The sequence below is a fragment of the Homo sapiens genome, chromosome 5 (genome assembly GCF_000001405.40).
Source record: "Homo sapiens chromosome 5, GRCh38.p14 Primary Assembly".
NCBI lineage: Eukaryota > Metazoa > Chordata > Mammalia > Primates > Hominidae > Homo > Homo sapiens.
In genome coordinates, this window is record NC_000005.10 from 7,172,924 (window position 1) to 7,198,055 (window position 25,132).

The following is a 25,132-nucleotide window of genomic DNA, read 5'->3' on the forward strand; positions in this document are numbered from 1 at the left end:
CAACAAAGATCAAAAGAGACAAAGAAGGCCATTACGTAATGGTAAAGGGATCAATTCAACAAGAAGAGCTAACTATCCTAAATATATATGCACCCAATACAGGAGCACTCAGATTCATAAAGCAAGTCCTGAGTGATCTACAAAGAGACTTAGACTCCCACACAATAATAATGGGAGACTTTAACACCCCACTGTCAACATTAGACAGATCAACAAGACAGAAAGTCAACAAGGATACCCAGGAATTGAACTCAGCTCTGCATCAAGTGGACCTAATAGACATCTACAGAACTCTCCACCCCAAATCAACAGAATATCCATTTTTTTCAGCACCACACCACACCTATTCCAAAATTGACCACATAGTTGGAAGTAAAGCTCTCCTCAGCAAATGTAAAAGATCAGAAATTATAACAAATTGTCTCTCAGACCACAGTGCAATCAAACTAGAACTCAGGATTAAGAAACTTACTCAAAACCACTCAACTACATGGAAGCTGAACAACCTGCTCCTGAATCACTACTGGGTACATAACGAAATGAAGGCAGAAATAAAGATGTTCTTTGAAACCAATGAGAACAAAGACACAACATACCAGAATCTCTGGTACACATTCAAAACAGTGTGTAGAGGGAAATTTATAGCACTAAATGCCCACAAGAGAAAGCAGGAAAGATCCAAAATTGACACCCTAACATCACAATTAAAAGAAGTAGAAAAGCAAGAGCAAACACATTCAAAAGCTGGCAGAAGGCAAGAAATAACTAAAATCAGAGCAGAACTGAAGGAAATAGAGACACAAAAAACCCTTCAAAAAATTAATGACTCCAGGAGCTGGTTTTTTGAAAAGATCAACAAAATTGATAGACTGCTAGCAAGACTGATAAAGAAGAAAAGAGAGAAGAATCAAATAGATGCAATAAAAAATGACAAAGGGGATATCACCACCGATCCCACAGAAATACAATCTATCATCAGAGAATACTACAAACACCTCTATTCAAATAAACTACAAAATCTAGAAGAAATGGATAAATTCCTCGACACATACACTCTCCCAAGACTAAACCAGGAAGAAGTTGAATCTCTGAATAGACCAATAACAGGCTCTGAAATTGTGGCAATAATCAATAGTTTACCAACCAAAAAAGAGTCCAGGACCAGATGGATTCACAGCCAAATTCTACCAGAGGTACAAGGAGGAACTGGTACCATTCCTTCTGAAACTATTCCAATCAATAGAAAAAGAGGGAATACTCCCTAACTCATTTTATGAGGCCAGCATCATCCTGATACCAAAGCCGGGCAGAGACACAACCAAAAAAGAGAATTTTAGACCAATATCCTTGGTGAATATTGATGCAAAAATCCTCAATAAAATACTGGCAAACCGAATCCAGCAGCACATCAAAAAGCTTATCCACCATGATCAAGTGGGCTTCATCCCTGGGATGCAAGGCTGGTACAATATATGCAAATCAATAAATGTAATCCAGCATATAAACAGAACCAAAGACAAAAACCACATGATTATCTCAACAGATGCAGAAAAGGCCTTTGACAAAATTCAACAGCCCTTCATGCTGAAAACTCTCAATAAATTAGGTATTGATGGGACATATCTCAAAATAATAAGAGCTATCTATGACAAACCCACAGCCAATATCATACTGAATGGGCAAAAACTGGAAGCATTCCCTTTGAAAACTGGCACAAGACAGGGATGCCCTCTCTCACCACTCCTATTCAACATATTGTTGGAAATTCTGGCCAGGGCAATTAGGCAGGAAAAGGAAATAAAGGGTATTCAATTAGGAAAAGAGGAAGTCAAATTGTCCCTGTTTGCAGATGACATGACTGTATATCTAGAAAACCCCATTGTCTCAGCCCAAAATCTCCTTAAGCTGATAAGCAACTTCAGCAAAGTCTCAGGATACAAAATCAACGTACAAAAATCACAAGCATTCTTATACACCAACAACAGACAAACAGAGAGCCAAATCATGAGTGAACTCCCATTCACAATTGCTTCAAAGAGAATAAAATACCTAGGAATCCAACTTACAAGGGATGTGAAGGACCTCTTCAAGGAGAACTACAAACCACTGCTCAATGAAATAAAAGAGGATACAAACAAATGGAAGAACATTCCATGCTCATGGGTAGGAAGAATCAATATCGTGAAAATGGCCATACTGCCCAAGGTAATTTATAGATTCAATGCCATCCCCATCAAGCTACCAATGACTTTCTTCATAGAATTGGGAAAAACTACTTTAAAGTTCATATGGAACCAAAAAAGAGCCCGCATTGCCAAGTCAATCCTAATCCAAAAGAACAAAGCTGGAGTCATCACGCTACCTGACTTCAAACTATACTACAAGGCTACAGTAACCAAAACAGCATGGTACTGGTACCAAAACAGAGATATAGATCAATGGAAGAGAACAGAGCCCTCAGAAATAATGCTGCATATCTACAACTATCTGATCTTTGACAAACCTGAGAAAAACAAGCAATGGGGAAAGGATTCCCTATTTAATAAATGGTGCTGGGAAAACTGGCTAGCCATATGTAGAAAGCTGAAACTGGATCCCTTCCTCACACCTTATACAAAAATTAATTCAAGATGGATTAAAGACTTAAACGTTAGACCTAAAACCATAAAAACCCTAGAAGAAAACCTAGGCATTACCATTCAGGACATAGGCATGAGCAAGGACTTCATGTTTAAAACACCAAAAGCAATGGCAACAAAAGCCAAAATTGACAAATGGGATCTCATTAAACTAAAGAGCTTCTGCACAGCAAAAGAAACTACCATCAGAGTGAACAGGCAATCTACACATGGAAGAAAATTTTCGCAACCTACTCATCTGACAAAGGGCTAATATCCAGAATCTACAATGAACTCAAACAAATTTACAAGAAAAAAACAACCCCATTAAAAAGTGGGCGAAGGACATGAACAGACACTTCTCAAAAGAAGACATTTATGCAGCCAAAAAACACATGAAAAAATGCTCACCATCACTGGCCGTCAGAGAAATGCAAATCAAAACCACAATGAGATACCATCTCACACCAGTTAGAATGGCAATCATTAAAAAGTCAGGAAACAACAGGTGCTGGAGAGGATGTGGAGAAATAGGAACACTTTTACACTGTTGGTGGGACTGTAAACTAGTTCAGCCATTGTGGAAGTCAGTGTGGCGATTCCTCAGGGATCTAGAACTAGAAATACCATTTGACCCAGCCATCCCATTACTGGGTATATACCCAAATGACTATAAATCATGCTGCTATAAAGACACATGCACACGTATGTTTATTGCGGCACTATTCACAATAGCAAAGACTTGGATCCAACCCAAATGTCCAACAATGATAGACTGGATTAAGAAAATATGGCACATATACACCATGGAATACTATGCAGCCATAAAAAATGATGAGTCCATGTCCTTTTTAGGGACATGGATGAAATTGGAAATCATCATTCTCAGTAAACTATCACAAGAACAAAAAACCAAACACCGCATATTCTCACTCATAGGTGGGAATTGAACAATGAGAACACATGGACACAGGAAGGGGAACATCACACTCTGGGGACTGTTGTGGGGTGGGGGGAGGGGGGAGGGATAGTTTTAGGAGATATACCTAATGCTAAATGACGAGTTAATGGGTGCAGCACACCAGCATGGCACATGTATACATATGTAACTAACCTGCACATTGTGCACATGTACCCTAAAACTTAAAGTATTATAATAATAAAATAAAATTAAAAAAAAGAAAAAAAAAGAAAAGGCTACATATTATATGATTACATATAAACGAAATGTTCAGAAAAGGCAAATCTATAGAGACATAAAGTACACTGGGGGCTGCTTGGGGTTGAAGACAGGAATGAATTCACTATATAAAGAGGCAAGAGAGATCTTATCAGAGTTATAAAAATGTTCTAAAATTAGTTAATACTACTAGTTGCACACCTTTGTAAATTTACTAAAAGTTATCAATTGTGTAAACAGGCAAATTTTACAGTATGTGTAATTTATATCTCAATGAACCTTTTTAAAACAAATCATAGCAATCAACCAAAATGATTAAGTCATATGAGTAAGTTTAATGCAAATATTCACTAAAATATTGATATTTGAAAATAGTTTTCAAATAAACCAGTAATAGCCAATTAGAATATTTAGTGGAAAAAGGGTCCCAATTGTGGGAGCAACAAATACTAAAAAATATTGCTTTACTGGAGATATAGCAGAACCTGAGAAGCCTACATTCTGTACTAGTATGCTTGGGTTTACAGCCCAGCTACCATTGTGGGAAGGTAAAATTAGCCTCTTCCTGTGTCAGTTTACTCACCTAGGAATGATAACAGTATCTGCACCATAAGGATGTTGTAAGGAATAAATAAGATAATATTTGCAAAATGCAAAGAGCAATGCCTGGCATATAGGAAATGCTATATAGTGTTATACAATGTTCATGCTCATGCATAAAATACAGAAACAAGAATATTCATTACAGCATTCTTTGTACAAGTGAAAAATTAGAAATGTCTGTTAATTTAAGAAATGACTATATAAATAATGCCAATATTTTGAAGACTATGTAGTATTTTTAAAGAATGACATAGAACCATATGTTTTAGTCTGGAAAAAATCTCAAGGATACACTGTTAATGAAAAATAGAAAGATACAGAACAATAAAAATAGAATGATTCTATTTAAGTTAAAAGCATGTTGCCTGTGCACATAAGTGTATGTGTGAGTTATTAAAAGAATAGGTTCTGAAACGATATATACCTATCTGGAGTGTGGATGGTAAGTGTGTGAGAGAAAAGACTTTAACTTTTTATTTTGCATTTCTTCCTTGTTTAAATATTTAAACATAAGAATATATTCAAGAACTCACATAAGGATTAAAGTGGAAAGTTAAACAAATAGGCCTGCTACGCATCTCACAGAGTGGGCGCTGCCATCCAATGAGCCTTTCTATGTAAAGAGTGCTGCACATCAGCGCATAAGAGCAAAACAGCTGTGCACCAATGTGTTCAGTAAGTGATGGCTTTTTAAATCCTGAAAGAGATTACCCGTACACTCTCAGAAGCTGACTGAAAGTCTTTATGGAAAAGAGGAAATCTTGCCTCACAGGTCAACTTCAAAGCCATGATGGACATATGTAAAAGATATAAGAAAAGGCCCAGGTCTTAAGCCAAAGTATATTGTAAATCCTTTTATTTTCCTAGATTCAGTGAAACCATTCCTTTTATTATACTTTAAGTTTTAGGGTACATGTGTACAACATGCAGGTTTGTTACATATGTATACATGTGCCATGTTGGTGTGCTGCACCCATTAACTATGAGATTTATTTCTTTAAAGCACACATACACACACACACACCTAAAGTGCAATGTTAAGATGTGATAAAATTGTGTTATGGGTCCATGGATTTTTATTATATTATTCTCTATACTTGTCTGCATGTTTGAAATATTTCATTATAAAATATATATTTTTAAATAAAAAAAACATTCCTTTTGAATTGTGTTGCAAAGATGGCTTTCATTCAGAAATTGGAAAGTGCAGTTAGTATTAGAAGAATATTGCCATCAACAACCTGCTTACTGTACAGTGTTGTCCAGATTAACATAGAATATTCTCACTCATATATTGGATGGTCTGGATGAGGAAAGCCCAAGAGATATTTAATGTAAACAAAGCTCAGCTTCCATTTTTTCTGGCTTAGAATCTAATTTGAAATGTCCTGAGTGGTAGAACTCCTTTCTATCCATTCTCCAGAGAGCATTTCTATTAATCAAATATTTCCTATTAACAAGAAACATTTCCTGACATCCAGTCTAAGTTTTTATCTTTCTTATGGCATTACATAATTTGGTTAATAAAATTATCCTATTAGCAGATCACAAATGACATTCATGTTGTTACCCATTTTCTTGTTGTTGCACCGTGATTATGTGGATCTAAAGCAACCAGGAAATGAAGTGAACGTCATTTTCTTTTATTTCCTTCATCTCTCCCATAGATATGAAGAGTCAGGTCACTAGAAAACAGAATATCATGTGATTGTGTTTGACTGCACAACTGGTCTCTATCAATATCTATGCCTGAAGAGGAAGAATGTTTGCCTAGTAAGGTAAAATATTTGGTTATCTACCTCTGTTTGCCTGACTTATCCCTGCTGGTATTAGTAACCACTATAGAGGAAGAACAAATAGACAATTACAAGAATGTGTGTCAAGATCTTGGACACAAAATTATTTCATATTGTTTACATGTAATACTAATCTAAAGCTTGCTAAGACTCAAGTAAAATGTTAGGGTCAGAAAAGACAACATAACTAGAAGCCCTCTTGTTATGTTGAATAGGAAAGAAAAAAAGTCCACTGGGTATGAATCACATAAGTTGCCTCTGTGGCAGGTGCCTGCAGCAATTACTTTCCAATGGGTGCTTAATAAAAACAGAAGATGGAAAACTCAATACGTAAGGTCAATACTGATAACAGTTCATTAGCACAAGTTGAGGACAAGCGAAGGATGAATGTGCCTTGTCCTCCAAGCAGCTGAAGTGCACTTCCCCAGGCTTCTGTCTTCTCTTCTGAGTCACTGAGTCTCTGTGCTCTTTGACACCCTATAACTGGAGGATTATGATTACTTAGTAGGCTTCTGTGCTTAACTTGATAAAACAATAAAAAGTCACACAGAGAAATCTTAAAAACTCGAGGTAGCTTGTAAAGCCACAACTCCACTGTTATTTCATACCACCTTCCTCTCTATCTCACTTCTCCACATTGAAATATGCCCCTTTCCTTGAGATATGAATCACTAAAGTACAAAAACTAGTTTTAAAGTATGCACAGTTGACCAGGCACAGTGGCTTACACTTATAATGCCAGCACTTTGGAAGGCTGAGGCAGGAGCATCACTTGAGGCCAGGAGTTTGAGAGCAGCCTGGGCAATAGAGCCAGACCCTCTTTCTACCAAAAATAATAATAATAAAAAACAGCTGGGCATGGCGGTGCAAGTCTGTAATCTCAGCTACTCAGGGGGCTGAGGCAGAAGGATGAGTTGGGCCCAGAAGTTTGAGGCTGCAGTGAGCAATGATTGTACCACTGTACTTCAGCCTGGGTGACAGAGCAAGAGCCTGTCTGTTAATAAATGAAAAATATAAAATAAAATAAAATATTGATAGTAGTATTTAGTGGGAAAACATTAATTTGAGTCTACTCATAATTTTGAATTTTGAGATCTGGATTCATTTAATAAAAATCATGTTGAGTACATTTTCCAAACTATTTGAATACATGTTCTCCTTATCTTATGAACTAATTTAACTTTACCATAGCTTCAGAGAAAATGGCTTGCCTCGTGGTGTGTGATAACCTTTGGGTGGGCACAACTCCATCAGCAGCTATTCCTGAGACAGGAGATGGTGGCTCTGTGATCACAGTTTCATTGGAATATTTGGTGTAAAATGTAAAAGAAAATATGGCAACACATGGGAGGATGACAACAGAGGGGCTACGGTGACATATTGCAGGGGTCATGAGAGTCATAGGAGACACTTGGCATCCTAAGGACCAAATCTTAAAAGGAAAGCCCAGGACAATTGTGTATTTCCCTTTGTAAATGGTATTAAACGCATTTAAAAAGTATTACATCTAGAGAGCTAAGTTAATGTTCAAGTCCCTCTAATCTATCTGCCCACTTCCCACCGCTGCCTTCTAGCACATTTCATAGAGAGGATAATTCCTTTTTAATTGATTTCTCTCTGGGCAGCATTTCCTTTCTTTGTAATAACGCATCCTGCACAACGAGCTCTTTAGACTTCAGAACATTATAATCTAAAGAAAAGGCAGAATCATCTCCACCAAATGTGGAAATCTGATTGTGTAGTGGGGAAGACTTAGCTCCCTCAAGTTGTGCTCTAGGGCCAAACCCTTTTCCATTTCTACTGAGGATGTCTCTGGAGTGCTGAGAGGTGGAACTCCAATTAGGGGAAGACTGAGGGGCTGTTCCTATAGACGCTCCATGGGAGGGCCACTTAATAACAGGAAGCTCATTGGTCCTGAAGCCCTCAGGGTCCTCCAGAGGGCTAGGGTGCCAACAGGGACATCCTTGGAGGGGTCCTCACCCTGGGCTTGGAGAGTCCATCTCACCATCACTCTCAGATGATTGCCTGGCAGCTGCAGGATGTCCCAGGGCCCGACTTCTCCCTTTCACAGCCTCACTCATCTCCCTGAGGTATGTCTTTCCTGAGGTTCTGGAATCAAGAATGTTTAGTAAATCATATAGGCCTGTCTGGGACCTTTTCATGGCAGATGTTTCTGAATTCTTTCTCTCTTGACAGATAACTCTCCCATCTTCCAGGAATTATTAATGAGTTTTCTAGTTCTCTGATCTCTTGGTGATACTTTAACCAGCAAGACATTTTGTTGTCTTGTCATTTTGCCTAACCCAATTTTTATTTTTTCTTGAAAAAAAATCAGTATAATATGCTAAGATCAACAGAACTTTGGGCTGGTCTTCTAAGGAAATGGTGTCACCCTTTTAAAAGAAAACATCAAAGCAAGCAACCAACAATTGCAATAGAAGGCCAACACTGTTCCTTCTAAAAACAGGTCAGAATCATCGTCTCTCTGGCTTTGAAGAACTTTGCATTGCTAGGTCTCTGTTATTTTCTCCCAGCCATTCTTTTCGGGATTTTCTGTCTGCTGCCATCCGCTAACCTTTGCATCCCCTTTCTCCAGCCTACCCCTCATGTTGGGGTAACAGCCTGTTGTATCTGTAAAAATACAACACATGTCTCAACAAGATTTCTAGCTTAGTCACGGCAGCCACCAGAACACTCTACAAATGTAAAAGATGACCCCAACCTGAAGGCTTTGGAATATCTAACTCAAAAATAAACTTTGTTCTGGAGAAATAGGAAATGTATCCAGCAAAAACAACTTCAGCTCTTTCACAGGTGAAAATAAAAGGACTGGTGGCAAATCAAAGCACTACTTGGTACAGAGATTGCTGTTTGCTTGGTCAAAGGTTGCACTGTCACCCTTTTCAAAGTTTAATTGCCTTCACAGCAATCTACCCGGTATTGGCTTTCCTGTTTGTCTTATTAGGGCAGCAAAGTACACCCTGTGTTCTCCTCACAGGGAATATCTTGTTTCATCACTAATTGTCAAGATTTGGGAAAAGGTCAACTAAGCTTATCTAAACGCCTACTAAAAATAAAAACCCTTTGAATGATTATCTTTTCTAAAAAGATAAATTATGGTGAACATTACTTGTAAAATCTTAGTCTAATAATCTTTCTCAAGACATTTGCATTTCATTAATAATGTTAACATATTCCTGACATGTTATTAATGTTTTACAGATTAGAAAGTGTGTGTATATATGTGACTTTATTCATTTTCAAAACAGCATTTTGAGGTAAGAAATATTATTTTTTCTTTTTAAAATTATAGATGATAAAATTACATTTCAAATAATGTATATAACTGGCTCACGAAAATATAGCAAACCAAAGTTTCCATTATTCCACATTGCTTCTCATCATTTCTTAGACTGAAGAATGGAAAGTTCATGGACCTGTAATTAGTGACAGACACAAGAGGGACAGATGAACTCCTGATATTATATCTAAAGCTTGACCCCTCCCTCTTCTTTCCAGAGTAGTTCAAAATTACACCCTATTCTACCCATTGTGGGCCAAGAAGCAGCACCTGATGACCCCATGTTACATGGCGAGCCCCAAAGGGACCATTCTCACCTTAAATAATTTCATGGCACGCAAGACCAAAGAACTCCATAGTGGCACACACCAACTAGTTGCATGACAGAGGACACAAGGGAGATTCTGAACCCTGCTACCTCTCTGTTTTGTGGCTAAAAGTTCAACAGATACAGGATTTGAAGGCATCCCATGCTGGGATTGGAGAGGCTCACCTTTACATTGTTTTGGGAAAGTATTATTCTTCTCCAATGAAGTTGTGTGTTAGATGCAAGTTATTCTGACTGACCTTGGGATTGTCAACCTTATCTTCTTCTTAGTTCAAGCACAAAAAGACAAGGTTTGTGCACCCCTTGTCTCAGTTGTGAATAAATGTTGGCCTAATCCTGAGGATAAAAATAGAGCAATCTCTCATTAAAATTCAAGTTATATGAGGAGAAAGTTGTTTTCTTTTCTGTTTTGTTCACTGCTGCTTCCTTATTGTCTACAAACATGCCTGGTACATCATAGAGGCTGAATATGTAGTATTTGGATGGAATATAATATACGGATGTGTGTGTATCTGTCTGTATGTCTGCCTGTCTGTCTGTCTGTCTATATCTCAACACTTTGTCAAATCTGACCCTCCCGACCTTAAGGAGCATGGTGTGGTAGACAATGATCACGCTCCTAATACACATTCTCCCCATTCCTTCCTGGTGATAAAACTCTCAATTTTTAGCTGGGTGCATGGCCATTTAGAGGAAAGACTGCATTTCCCAATCTTCCTTGCAGCTAGACCTTGCCATGTGGTTAGGATCTGAGCAGTAGGTGGAGGGGAACGTCTCCTGTCCAAGTTCAGTAGGTATCTTGCCTCTTTCCCTCTGCCTAAATGTGCGTGAGATGGCTGGAACACCAGAGGCCAGGAGGTAGAAGCCACATGTTCAAGATGATGGAGCAATTCCATGGCTGGAGCCTGAGGTCCTGACAATCATGATGCACAGCCCCATAAGCCACTGTTAAGCCACTGTTATTTTGGGTTTTCTGTCACATGCTTTTTTCCATAATACCTTTATAAAGTTTTCTAATAGTTGAATGAATACAACATTCTATTTTATTGCTATATTCTTGCTTTTGTTTTCATTGAACACGAATTTTGTGGAGTGTTGCTTCTGCTTGTAATCAATGTTGACTCATCCTAGAAATCTAATCTCAACTCTCCTGCGTGGTAGAGGCTCAGATGGAAACTCCTGCACATCTTGTTTCTTGCTGCCCATCGTCAGTGGACAAGGCCTGGCAGCTTGCAGGGAGAGGATCACTGAGGATGAACAGGATAAATCTTGACATCTCGGAACATTTCCTTTTTTTTTTTTTTTTTTTTCCAGACGGAGTTTTGCTCTTGTCGCCCAGGCTGGAGTGCAGTGGCATGATCTTGGCTCACTGCAATCTCCTCCTCCCCGGTTCAAGTGATACTCCTGCTTCAGCCTCCCGAGTAGCTGGTATTACAGGCATGCGCCATCATGCCCAGCTAATTTTTGTATTTTTAGTAGAGACGGCATTTCACCATGTTGGCCAGGCTGGTCTCGAACACCTGACCTCAGGTGATCCACCCACCTCGGCCTGCCAAAGTGCTGAGATTACAGGTGTGAGCCACCGTGCCTGGCCAGAACATTTTCAATCTGCTTTCTGCATCGTAGTTTTACTGTTCGGTTTGAAGCAAATTCTCTAAAACCAGTCCTATGCATTTTTCAAATACATGGCAAACAGGCCAGAGATACAGACTAATTATTTTCCCATGAAACTACTGTACTTCCTGTGAACAAACAGATTCCCACCTGCACTTTAAGGACCACCTCTCCACTAGTGGTCCCAGATTCCTCTTTCTCAACTGTTTCTTAAATAATGCTTTCTTGGTCTACATTCTTACAGCCAATATTTTATTGAAATTCATTTCACTTCCTCTTATTTAAGAAAGAAATCACCATAAATAAGTTTTTCACTATCAGCACCTTCCCTGATATTTTCCCAATTCAAATGGCGTTTATTGCCATCACTATCACCTTCTTGAGAGTTACTGCTTTCTTTTTGCCTGTATGTTCAATTGTATCTCAGACATCTCACAGGTTTTTCAAGCTCAGCATTTTCATATTTGAAGCTCTCATAATCATCCTCCCCTCCACACCTGTTCCATTTCCTATGTTGATAATTTCACTCTGTCTCAGTAGCCTGAGTCAGAAACCTGGGAGATATCCTATCTCAAAATGCTGTTTTGAAAATGAATAAGGCCACATATGTACACGCACTTTCTAATGCATGAAACATTAATAGAATGTCAGAAATATGTTAATATAATTGATGAAATGTGAATTTCTTGAGAAAGATTATTATCTAATATTAATTTTCCATATTATTCAATATGAATTCATTCTTTCAATATGGATGAATTGGTTCCATATTCAGTTGGTCACCAAGTCATCAATGCCAACACAGGCTTGGGTTTTCCTCTTTTGGCTATTATGTTATTTAATTTATCATCACTTATTACCTGAGATTTATCAAGAGTCTTCACACTCTGCTTCCAATCAGCCCACTTCAGTTCATCCCCCACCCCTCAGTCACAGAGTTCTGTCTACACTGGAATCGTGGGCATAAGACTCTTCTCTTAACTCCCAAACTGAGCGATTCTGAACTGAAGCCCTGGCCACTGCCTGCTCTTGGGCTTCATCTGCCAGCCATCCCTTTACATTCTGTACTTCTGCCAGCAGCAGTCTGCAGTTGGGGGAATTGGGGGAATGGGCTTTGGGGTTAAACCTGCATCCTCCTCATATGCCCAGTTTCCTTCAAGACAGCCTTTAAAACCCAGCAGAACTGCGAACTGTCAAGCACTTCCCTGACCCCCAACCTTGACCAAGGATCAAGTCTTACCATGTAGAATCTACTAGATCACCTTGTGAGCAGCTCCATAGCTGAGATCACCTTTGCCTCTATCTTTGGCATCAAGCAAGGAACTTCACATCTAGTGGGTTGTTGGAAGTTAGTTGCTTAATGAGCTAACATAGGAACAGAAAACCTAACTGCATGTTCTCAATTATCAGTGGGAGCTAAACATTGAGTACACGTGGATGCAAAGAAAGGAACAACAGACACCAACGCCTACTTGAGGGTAGAGGGTGGGAGGAAGGTAAGGATCGAAAAACCACCTATCGAGTACTGTGCTTATTACCTGGGTGACAAAATAACCTGTACACCAAACCCCCATGACACGCAATGCACCCATATAACAAGCCTGCACATGTACCTCTAAGCCTAAAATAAAAGTTAAAAGAAAAGTTAGTTGCTTAAATGAGTAAGTAAAATTCCATTTGAATCATCCACGTCCCTCAAGGGAGAGCTATAGATTATCGGAATAGGTATGTTTATCTCCATTCTCTACCTATCTTTCCTAATTCAGAAAAATTGTAAACGCAGGTAGATTAATTTATTTCTACACAGCACTGTCTTTTTTGGAACATATAGTTACTTCAAGTTCTACCTCAATATTTTCTCTCCAAAACAAGAAGCAAAAGCAACATCTCAACCAGATTATTTTAAGCCTTTTAACATTTTAGTTTTAGAGTTTCTAGCTTTGTTTTCAGACAGTACACAGATGATTAAAAATCAATAAGGATTCAACATTTGAGCATTATCTCCTATGGGACAATCAATGCATAGAACGGCCAAAACAATTTGTAATTTTTGATCAAGTCCTTATGATAGAAATAAAAACCAGAGCACAACTAATCCCATATTGGAAAAAAGGTTAAGGGAATGAGAAGATAATTCATATTAACTGAGTACCTACTGTGTGTCAGACACTATGCATGGAGGTTCACAGTGGTGAATTGAATCTTCACATATAATCTAGGAAGTAGTTATAATTAGTTATAATTACTATGGTTTGACTACTGAGTGCAGTGAGATGCAGAGAGGCACGCATCTACGGAAATTAGCTCACAGCCTTTCCAGTAGTCCAGACCACAAGTGCTGTTACTATAACCTGTGGGAATCCCTGACATTAAAGCCACAGTATAAGCTTTAGTTCAAAAATGTTCATGAACATATTTTTTTCTTTAATTTCAGTAGCTAATTCACTTGTTTGCATTTAATTTCATAGATTTTTTTTTCTTCAACTTTTATTTTAAGTTCAGGGGTACATGTCCAGGATGTTCAGGTTTGTTGCATAGGTGAACGTGTGCCATGGTGATTTGCTGCACAAATCAACCCGTCACCTAGGTGTAAATCCATCATCCATTAGCTATTCTTCCTGATGCTCTCCCTCCCTTCACCCGCCCCTGACAGGCCCCAGTGTGTGTTGTTCCCTACCATGTGTCCATGTGTTCTCATCTTTCAGCTCTCACTTGCAAGTGAGAACATGCAGTGTTTGGTCTTCTGTTCCTGTGTTAGTTTGCTGAGGATAACAAAGGACATGGATGCTTAGCAAACTAAGGATAACAGTTCTATCCATTTGCAAGGATTCATATGCATATCCATTTGCAAAGTTCATATCCTTTGCAAGGATATGGTGTCATTCTTTTCTATGTCTGCATAGTATTCCATGGTGCGTATGTTACCACCTTTTCTTTATCCAGTCTATCACTGATGGGCATTTGGGTTGATTCCATGTCTTTGCTATTGTGAATAGTGCTGCAATGAACACACGCATGCTTGTGTCTTTATAATAAAATGATTTATATTCCTTTGGGTATATACCTAGTACTGGGATTGCTGGGTCAAATGGTATTTCTGCTTCTAGATCTTTGAGGAATCGCCACACTGTCTTCCACAATGATTGAACTAATTTACATCCCCACCAACATTGTAAAAGCGTTCCTTTTTTCTCCACAACCTCGCCAGCATCTGTTGTTTCTTAACTTTGCAATAGTCATTCTGTCTGGAGTGAGATGGTATCTCATTATGGTTTTGCTTTGCATTTCTCTAATGATCAGTGATGTTGAGGTTTTTTTCATATGTTTGTTGGCTGCAAGAGTGTCTTCTTTTGAGAAGTGTCTGCTCATGTCCTTTGCCTACTTTTTAATGGGGTTGTTTGTTTTTTCTTGTAAATTTGTCTAAGTTCTTTGTAGACTCTGGATATTAGACCATTGTCAGAAAGATAGATTGCAAAAATTTTCTTCCATTCTGTAGGTTGTCTGTTCACTCTGATGATAGTTTCTTTTTCTGTGCAGAAGCTCTTTAGTTTAATTAGATCCCATTTGTCAATTTTGACTTTTGTTGCCATTGCTTTTGGTATTTCCATCATGAACATTTTATATATTTTTTAAAAATAAACATTTTATTTCTGAATAGCTTTAGGTTTATAGGAAAATAACGAAGGTGATATAGAGTTTCTATTATTATTATCATTATTATTTGAGACAGAGTCTTGCTCTGTTGCCCAGGCTGGAGTGCAGTGGCGTGATCTCGGCTCACTGCAACCTCTGCCTCCTGGGTTCAAGCAATTCTCCTGCCTCAGCCTCCTGAGTAGCTGGGACTACAGACGTGTGCCACCATGCCTGGCTAATTTTTTTTTTTTTTTTTTTTGGCAGTGGGGGATGGAGTCTCACTTTGTTGCCCAGGCTGGAGTACAGTGGTGACATCTCGGCTCACTGCAAGCTCCGCCTCCCGGGTTCAGGCCATTCTCATGCCTCAGCCTCCCGAGTAGCTGGGACTACAGGCGCTGGCCACCGAGCCCGGCTAATTTTTTGTATTTTTAGTAGAGGCGGGGTTTCATCATGTTAGCCAGGATGGTCTTGATCTCCTGACCTCATGATCCACCCACCTCGGCCTCCCAAAATACTGGGATTACAGGCATAAGCCACCGCACCTGGCCTTTTTTTTTTTTTTTTTTTCATATTTTTAGTAGAGACAGGGTTTCACTATGTTGGCCAGACTAGTCTCAAACTCCTGACCTCGTGGATCCACCCGCCTCGGCCTCCCAAAGTGCTGGGATTACAGGCATGAGCCACCGCACCTGGCCAAGTTTCTCTTATTATTAATAGCTTATTTTAGTGTGGTATCTGTTTGCCACAATTAATGGAACAATATTGATACATCATTATTAACTTGAGTCTACACTTTATGCATATTCCTTAGTTTTTTATCTGACTTTCTTTTCCTGTTCTTGGATCCCTTCAGGGTACCACATTATACTTAGTCATCATGGCTACTCAGGATTTTCTTGGTTGTGACAAGTTTTCAGACTTTCCTTGTTTTGGTGACCTTGATAATAGTGGTCAGGTATTTTGCAGAATGTGCCTCAATTTGTATTTGTCTCATGCTTTTCTCTTGACACATAGCTTTCTCATCAGTGAAACATACAGTTTGAACTGAGTGATGGATTGAGTAGCTCCGATTTTTCCCAATGCTCATACTGTGCTTTACTGAAGAAGTTACATTAAGTCTTTCAGGAATCCACAGAAAACATAAAACAGAGGCAAATTGGCTCCATAGAGACACATTTCCAATAGAGCTTCAGCAAGTGGATACAGCAGATATGGCCCTTCTCTTTTCAAATGCGTTAGGATAATAATAGATGCATAGAAATAAACATCAATTAATACTTCACAGCTATTATCAATCCAAAGATAACACCTAGGCTTTTAATGCCTTTTTCCCCTTTTATTATAAAATGCCTTTAATTCTATTGTGCTTTAGTGGGAAATTACTAAGTGAAAGACCTAGTCCCACGTTCAGTGGCCCCTGGTTGTAAGCTCTTCATAACTTTTAGGCACTGATAATGCATTTGGGGTTTCAAATCTCCAGGGATGAATGTTGGTAAGGATAACGCTGAAATGAACGTTAAGATAATGTGCTAATAAATGTTATATCCTGCCTGTTCTGAAGGTTTGCAGGACTCTGCGGATTAATTGTGAGACTCAGAGAAGAAACCAACTAGACAGGTATCACATGTGCTAAAGAAATAAAAGCTAGCCTGCTGTATGATAGAAAGCTGCCTTTCAGTAAATGGTTGCCGAATTGAGAAAAGACAACTGCAGTGATGATAAATAAAAAGATAAGGCAACGACTTGCTGAAAAAATGTGCTACGTATCAGGCTCTGCCAAGTGCTTTCTAAGCATGGTTTTACTTAATCCCCATACAAATCCTATGTGGCAGCCACTGTTTTCATTCTTTCTTTCTTTCTTTCTTTTTTGTGAGGGAGTCTCACTCTGTTGCCCAGGCTGGAGTGCAATGGCATGATCTTGGCTCACCACAACCTCCGCCTCCCAGGTTCAAGTGATTCTCCTGCCTCAGCCTCCCGAGTAGCTGGGATTATAGGCATCTGCCACCACGCCTGGCTAATTTTTGTATTTGTAGTAGAGATGGAGTTTCACCATGTTGGCCAGGCTGGTCTGGAACTCCTGACCTAAGGTGATCCACCCACCTTGGCCTCCCAAAGTGCTAGGATTACAGGTGTGAGCCTCTGCGCCCAGCCTTCCATTCTCATTTTAGGATAAGGAAATGAGGCCAGGAGAAGTGACTTGCCCAAGGTCACATGGTCAGTAAGTAGTGACACCACCTGAGAGTTTCTGTCTGACCTTCTCAGAGCCACATTCCTTGATAAGAGGACACCCAATGAAAGGGAACAAGCTGAGGGCAGGAGAGTGCTTCTTGGGAAATCTCACAGCACAGAGATAAATACTTCCTCCCAGCCCCGAGTCTAAGAAGCCAGACAGTGAGACAAAAGCAGCTCCAGAGTCTACTCAGATTCTGACATCATAGTTGAAAACCTAATTGACGTGCCTTACATAGAACACGTGTGTCCCTCACCATCCCCGGGGTGACTCTCTGTGCAGAGTTTCTGCATTTAGTTATTTTCTGTATTTGTGAAGGATAAACAAGGCTTCTTTTAGTGTTTTATCATTCATGAATTAGCTCTTCCCTGAGCCACTGTAAAGTCCGATGTAAGATGATCAGATGCCAGTAGGTCAACTCAAGGCTTTGAAAAATAAAAATTCTCCATGTGTGAACTACAAATCCAACCCACATTTGCTTGTTATGCAGAAAATTGTATTTGCCATGTCCTGCTTGCTTAGGGTAAAATGTTGGCTGTTGTTTTTTTTTTTCAGGCCATTAATATTGGCAAATCTTGCATAGACACAAGTGGTTGTAATTCTTACTACCATTAAGACAGTAGATGGATGGCTTTGAATTTGGGCCAAGTGAGCAAAGGCAGCCCCTCCCTCTCTACGTTCCAGCCGTTTTGCTCACTGTGAGGACTCAGCTGTGACACGGCAAGTATCTTTTACGCACATTTCTGTGATTTGCCCAGCACACATAGAACCATCATGAGCCTTTTAATAGCCAGTAATAGTTTGTCATAAACTTGTAAGATAAGATGCTTTTTGTTTAATACTCAAGTGCATTAGAAACCTGGCATCAACACAACAAGAAAATTTGTTCTCTTGAGATTCAGTAGAGAGATTCAAGGTCACATAATCATTCCAGAAATTTTAAAACGGCTTCCTTTTATTCGGTGCCAAGAAATGCTGAGCTCCAGAAACTTCCTATAAAGCTCATCTTGATAGTTTTTAAAATACTTTAGATATCACACTCACCCATGTTTTTTGAATGGCAGCTGGAGTTAAGAATTCTGTTTCCTTTGAGGTACTATCCCATAACTCCTGATTTTTTTTTCAACTCTCTTTATGTTTGGATTTTTGCCAAATATTGCTATTGATCAAAGGAAGAAAATGTTGTGCTTAGTTTTATAATGCTGGGTCCATCAAGATTGAACATGGTCTTCCTTTCTCAAAACATAGACTTACTGTGTTGGTATTCTTCAACCTGCTCTGCCTCACCTCCATGACAGTCCATCGTCACAGCTGCTGCCATTATAGATGTGGGATGATGTGTGGAATGTGTTCATTACTCTTTTTGTAAACACACACACAGGCACACACACACACACACATCATAACTCGTGTTCAATGATCTAAAATCCAAAACTCATTTTGGATTTAATTACATATATTGCTTTTTTTTTTCTTTTTTTTTGAGACAGAGCCTTACTCTGTCGCCAGGCTGGAGTGCAGTGGTGCGATCCCAGCTCACTGCAACCTCCGCCTCCCGGGTTCAAGCAATTCTCCTGCCTCAGCCTCCCAAGTAGCTGGGATTACAGGCACCTGCCACCACTCCTGGCTAATTTTTGTATTTTTAGTAGAGACGAGGTTTCACCATGTTTGTCAGGATGGTATATTGCTCTTTTTATGTGCTTCTAAGTATAATCATATGGCAGAAAAGAGAGGCCAAAAAAACTAGTTAAACTGGGTTTACACTCTCATTTCATTGCCTGGACATTTCACGATCCTCTCCACAGCATCTGCAAAGCTAGAAGATCTAGATTCTCAAAATTCCACCTCCTCCCATCTTTTGTCCACTCTCTCTGTTTTACCCCATATCAGTTTAGATATAACCACAGTCCCTTCACCAGTTTTCATAAGAAATCCACGTATGCCATTGATTTCTAGTTTAGTGAGCTTGGGAAATGTCTTGGACTTTGGGAGAGGGTCACAGTGCAGTGGGGCAGCTTTCCTCAGCCCAGCTGGCTTCTTTCTCATCCACCTCTCCCAGCTCTTCAGTTCTCCTTTCAGGATGGCTCTATGAAGATTACTTTCTTTCATTCTTTCACTTATTCAGAACAAGGATCTCATCCCAAATTTGTACAGGATGGCTTATCGAAGCATTCTGAAGAATAAAGAGACTTCCATTTGGCATGCGTGGAGTAGCTATTTTCTCCCTGTGTCTTCACATGGTCTTCCGTCTGTGAGTCTACCCTAATCTCTTCCTATAAGGACACCAGTCATATTGGATTAGGGTCCACCCTAATGACCTTATTTTAATTTAATTACCTCTTTAAAGATGCTACTGTGTTTCCAAATACAGCCACATGCTGAGGTATTGGAGGAGAGGGCTTCAACATATGAATTGAGGGCTGATACAATTCAGCCCATGAGACTCCCCTTAAATGAGCAGCTCATATAATTGAAGATGCATGAGAACAGAGACCTTGTCTGCCTAATTCTCTCCTGTATCCTTCATGCTTATGAGAGTGCCTAGAACATGCTAAAGAATGAATAGGGACTTTACTGTTGTTGAATAAGTTAAAGGTTGGAGGAGGTGCCCAGCACAGAGCAAGCAAGTGCTACTATATCTCTGCTGGATTTCCCAAACAGTCCTTACTTGATGTTTCCCAACTATGTTTTAGGAGAAAGTGAGGAGGGGCAGGCATATCATGAACACATATATGATGCTGGAAAATTTACTGCTGTCGTTTTATTTCCAAAAGGTAGAGGCAGGGTGTAGATATCATTCGCCTCACCTTCTCCCAGCCATGTGTCTACAGCACTAATACTGAACAACAAGGTTTCCTGGCATCCAATGTCAGAAGACCAATGTCACAAATGTGACTGAATTTATATTTAAATAAAAAGAAAATTTTAAAGTATATTTTTTCTTGAAAATTTTAGCACTTTTAGAAATACAGAACCACCATTTATATTCTTCAATAAAAGTTCTTTCTTTTTAAAAGTTCTGAGTTGCACACAGATGGGTCCTTAGCCAACATTAGTACAATATTAGTAGCCAATGCCACTTAGTAGTAGCATTGCTAGCTACTTAGGCCACACAGGTTTGAGAAGTTGACGGTATTTCTATTATCCATCTGAGAATCTCTTTTTGGTTTGTCTGTCTGTATTAGAACTTCTTGGAAAATTTTGTTGATGTTATAATATTTGACTCATAGACTAAGAAGATAGAATAACTATTTCACAATGGTGTATTTTGAAAAAAAAGCATATAACTTACAGGGAAATAAAATAACTCTTCTCTCATTACAATGTTTTATGATTCTTTCTGAATTCCAGCCATTGTCCATCACTATAACTGTGGGCATTCTTTTGAATCATCACTAATCAAAGATGTTTGTCTCCAGAGCTCTTGGCATCATATAATGTCTAGCAACCTCATGTGAACTATAAAGAACCTTGGCACCAAGGGTGCAGCATAGCTCCATAACAAAAATGAATAAATTTTAGGCATCAACAGTGCATTCAAGGGGGGGAGGAGCCAAGATGGCTGAATAGGAACAGCTCCGGTCTACAGCTCCCAGCGTGAGCGACGCAGAAGACAGGTGATTTCTGCATTTCCATCTGAGGTACCGGGTTCATCTCACTAGGGAGTGCCAGACAGTGGGCGCAGGACAGTGGGTGTGCTCACCGTGCGCAAGCCGAAGCAGGGCAAGGCATTGCCTCACCTGGGAAGCGCAAGGGGTCAGGGAGTTCCCTTTCCGAGTCAAAGAAAGGGGTGACAGACGCACCTGGAAAATCGGGTCACTCCCACCCGAATATTGCGCTTTTCAGACCGGCTTAAAAAACGGCGCACCACGAGACTATATCCCACACCTGGCTTGGAGGGTCCTACGCCCACGGAATCTCGCTGATTGCTAGCACAGCAGTCTGAGATCAAACTGCAAGGTGGCAGCGAGGCTGGGGGAGGGGCGCCCGCCATTGCCCAGGCTTGCTTAGGTAAACAAAGCAGCCAGGAAGCTCGAACTGGGTGGAGCCCACCACAGCTCAAGGAGGCCTGCCTGTCTCTCTAGGCACCACCTCTGGGGGCAGGGCACAAACAAACAAAAAGACAGCAGTAACCTCTGCAGACTTAAATGTCCCTGTCTCACAGCTTTGAAGAGAGCAGTGGTTCTCCCAGCACGCAGCTGGAGATCTGAGAACGGGCAGACTGCCTCCTCAAGTGGGTCCCTGACCCCTGACCCCCGAGCAGCCTAACTGGGAGGCACCCCCCAGCAGGGGCACACTGACACCTCACACTGCAGGGTATTCCAACAGACCTGCAGCTGAGGGTCCTGTCTGTTAGAAGGAAAACTAACAAACAGAAAGGACATCCACACCAAAAACCCATCTGTACATCACCATCATCAAAGACCAAAAGTAGATAAAACCACAAAGATGGGGAAAAAACAGAACAGAAAAACTGGAAACTCTAAAACGCAGAGTGCCTCTCCTCCTCCAAAGGACCGCAGTTCCTCACCAGCAACGGAACAAAGCTGGATGGAGAATGATTTTGACGAGCTGAGAGAAGAGGCTTCAGACGATCAAATTACTCTGAGCTACGGGAGGACATTCAAACCAAAGGCAAAGAAGTTGAAAACTTTGAAAAAAATTTAGAAGAATGTATAACTAGAATAACCAATACAGAGAAGTGCTTAAAGGAGCTGATGGAGCTGAAAACCAAGGCTCGAGAACTACGTGAAGAATGCAGAAGCCTCAGGAGCCGATGCGATCAACTGGAAGAAAGGGTATCAGCAATGGAAGATGAAATGAATGAAATGAAGCGAGAAGGGAAGTTTAGAGAAAAAAGAATAAAAAGAAATGAGCAAAGCCTCCAAGAAATATGGGACTATGTGAAAAGACCAAATCTACGTCTGATTGGTGTACCTGAAAGTGATGCGGAGAATGGAACCAAGTTGGAAAACACTCTGCAGGATATTATCCAGGAGAACTTCCCCAATCTAGCAAGGCAGGCCAACATTCAGATTCAGGAAATACAGAGAACGCCACAAAGATACTCCTCGAGAAGAGCAACTCCAAGACACATTATTGTCAGATTCACCAAAGTTGAAATGAAGGAAAAAATGTTAATGGCAGCCAGAGAGAAAGGTCGGGTTACCCTCAAAGGGAAGCCCATCAGACTAACAGCAGATCTCTCGGCAGAAACCCTACAAGCCAGAAGAGAGTGGGGGCCAATATTCAACATTCTTAAAGACAAGAATTTTCAACCCAGAATTTCATATCCAGCCAAACTAAGCTTCATAAGTGAAGGAGAAATAAAATACTTTACAGACAAGCAAATGCTGAGAGATTTTGTCACCACCAGGCCTGCCCTAAAAGAGCTCCTGAAGGAAGCGCTAAACATGGAAAGGAACAACCCGTACCAGCCGCTGCAAAATCATGCCAAAATGTAAAGACCATCGAGACTAGGAAGAAACTGCATCAACTAACGAGCAAAATCACCAGCTAACATCATAATGACAGGATCAAATTCACAATAACAATATTAACTTTAAATGTAAATGGACTAAATTCTCCAATTAAAAGACACAGACTGGCAAGTTGGATAAAGAGTCAAGACCCATCAGTGTGCTGTATTCAGGAAACCCATCTCACGTGCAGAGACACACACAGGCTCAAAATAAAAGGATGGAGGAAGATCTACCAAGCAAATGGAAAACAAAAAAAGGCAGGGGTTGCAATCCTAGTCTCTGATAAAACAGACTTGAAACCAACAAAGATCAAAAGAGACAAAGAAGGCCATTACATAATGGTAAAGGGATCAATTCAACAAGAGGAGCTAACTATCCTAAATATATATGCACCCAATACAGGAGCACCCAGATTCATAAAGCAAGTCCTGAGAGACCTACAAAGAGACTTAGACTCCCACACATTAATAATGGGAGACTTTAACACCCCACTGTCAACATTAGACAGATCAACGAGACAGAAAGTCAACAAGGATACCCAGGAATTGAACTCAGCTCTGCATCAAGTGGACCTAATAGTCATCTACAGAACTCTCCACCCCAAATCAACAGAATATCCATTTTTTTCAGCACCACACCACACCTATTCCAAAATTGACCATATAGTTGGATGTAAAACTCTCCTCAGCAAATGTAAAAGAACAGAAATTATAACAAACTATCTCTCAGACCACAGTGCAATCAAACTAGAACTCAGGTTTAATAATCTCACTCAAAACTGCTCAACTACATGGAAACTCAACAACCTGCTCCTGAATGACTACTGGGTACATAACGAAATGAAGGCAGAAATAAAGATGTTCTTTGAAACCAATGAGAACAAAGACACAACATACCAGAATCTCTGGGACGCATTCAAAGCAGTGTGTAGAGGGAAATTTATAGCACTAAATGCCCACAAGAGAAAGCAGGAAAGATCCAAAATTGACACCCTAACATCACAATTAAAAGAACTAGAAAAGCAAGAGCAAACACATTCAAAAGCTAGCAGAAGGCAAGAAATAACTAAAATCAGAGCAGAACTGAAGGAAATAGAGACACAAAAAACCCTTCAAAAAATCAATGAATCCAGGAGCTGGTTTTTTGAAAGGATCAACAAAATTGATAGACCACTAGCAAGCCTAATAAAGAAAAAAAGAGAGAAGAATCAAATAGACACGATAAAAAATGATAAAGGGGATATCACCACCGATCCCACAGAAATACAAACTACCATCAGAGAATACTACAAACACCTCTACACAAATAAACTAGAAAATCTAGAAGAAATGGATACATTCCTCGACACATACACTCTCCCAAGACTAAACCAGGAAGAAGTTGAATCTCTGAATAGACCAATAACAGGATCTGAAATTGTGGCAATAATCAATAGTTTACCAACCAAAAAGAGTCCAGGACCAGGTGGATTCACAGCCGAATTCTACCAGAGGTACAAGGAGGAACTGGTACCATTCCTTCTGAAACTATTCCAATCAATAGAAAAAGAGGGAATCCTCCCTAACTCGTTTTATGAGGCCAGCATCATTCTGATACCAAAGCCGGGCAGAGACACAACCAAAAAAGAGAATTTTAGACCAACATCCTTGATGAACATTGATGCAAAAATCCTCAATAAAATACTGGCAAACCGAATCCAGCAGCACATCAAAAAGCTTATCCACCATGAGCAAGTGGGCTTCATCCCTGGGATGCAAGGCTGGTTCAATATACGCAAATCAATAAATGTAATCCAGCATATAAACAGAGCCAAAGACAAAAACCACATGATTATCTCAATAGATGCAGAAAAAGCCTTTGACAAAATTCAACAACCCTTCATGCTAAAAACTCTCAATAAATTAGGTATTGATGGGACGTATTTCAAAATAATAAGAGCTATCTATGACAAACCCACAGCCAATATCATACTGAATGGGCAAAAACTGGAAGCATTCCCTTTGAAAACTGGCACAAGACAGGGATGCCCTCTCTCACCACTCCTATTCAGCATAGTGTTGGAAGTTCTGGCCAGGGCAATCAGGCAGGAGAAGGAAATAAAGGGTATTCAATTAGGAAAAGAGGAAGTCAAATTGTCCCTGTTTGCAGACGACATGATTGTTTATCTAGAAAACCCCATTGTCTCAGCCCAAAATCTCCTTAAGCTGATAAGCAACTTCAGCAAAGTCTCAGGATACAAAATCAACGTACAAAAATCACAAGCATTCTTATACACCAACAACAGACAAACAGAGAGCCAAATCATGAGTGAACTCCCTTTCACAATTGCTTCAAAGAGAATAAAAT

General features: G+C 39.8%; 2 annotated features.

The window, feature by feature from the left end:
• Window positions 20,567–21,130: an enhancer, noted in NCBI's record as "H3K27ac-H3K4me1 hESC enhancer chr5:7193603-7194166 (GRCh37/hg19 assembly coordinates)". NCBI's record gives its function as "activates a minimal SCP1, AML or CMV promoter by ChIP-STARR-seq in primed H9 embryonic stem cells {active_cell/tissue: H9 hESC(primed)}" and the evidence as "EXISTENCE:reporter gene assay evidence [ECO:0000049][PMID:30033119]".
• Window positions 21,131–21,692: an enhancer, noted in NCBI's record as "H3K27ac-H3K4me1 hESC enhancer chr5:7194167-7194728 (GRCh37/hg19 assembly coordinates)". NCBI's record gives its function as "activates a minimal SCP1, AML or CMV promoter by ChIP-STARR-seq in primed H9 embryonic stem cells {active_cell/tissue: H9 hESC(primed)}" and the evidence as "EXISTENCE:reporter gene assay evidence [ECO:0000049][PMID:30033119]".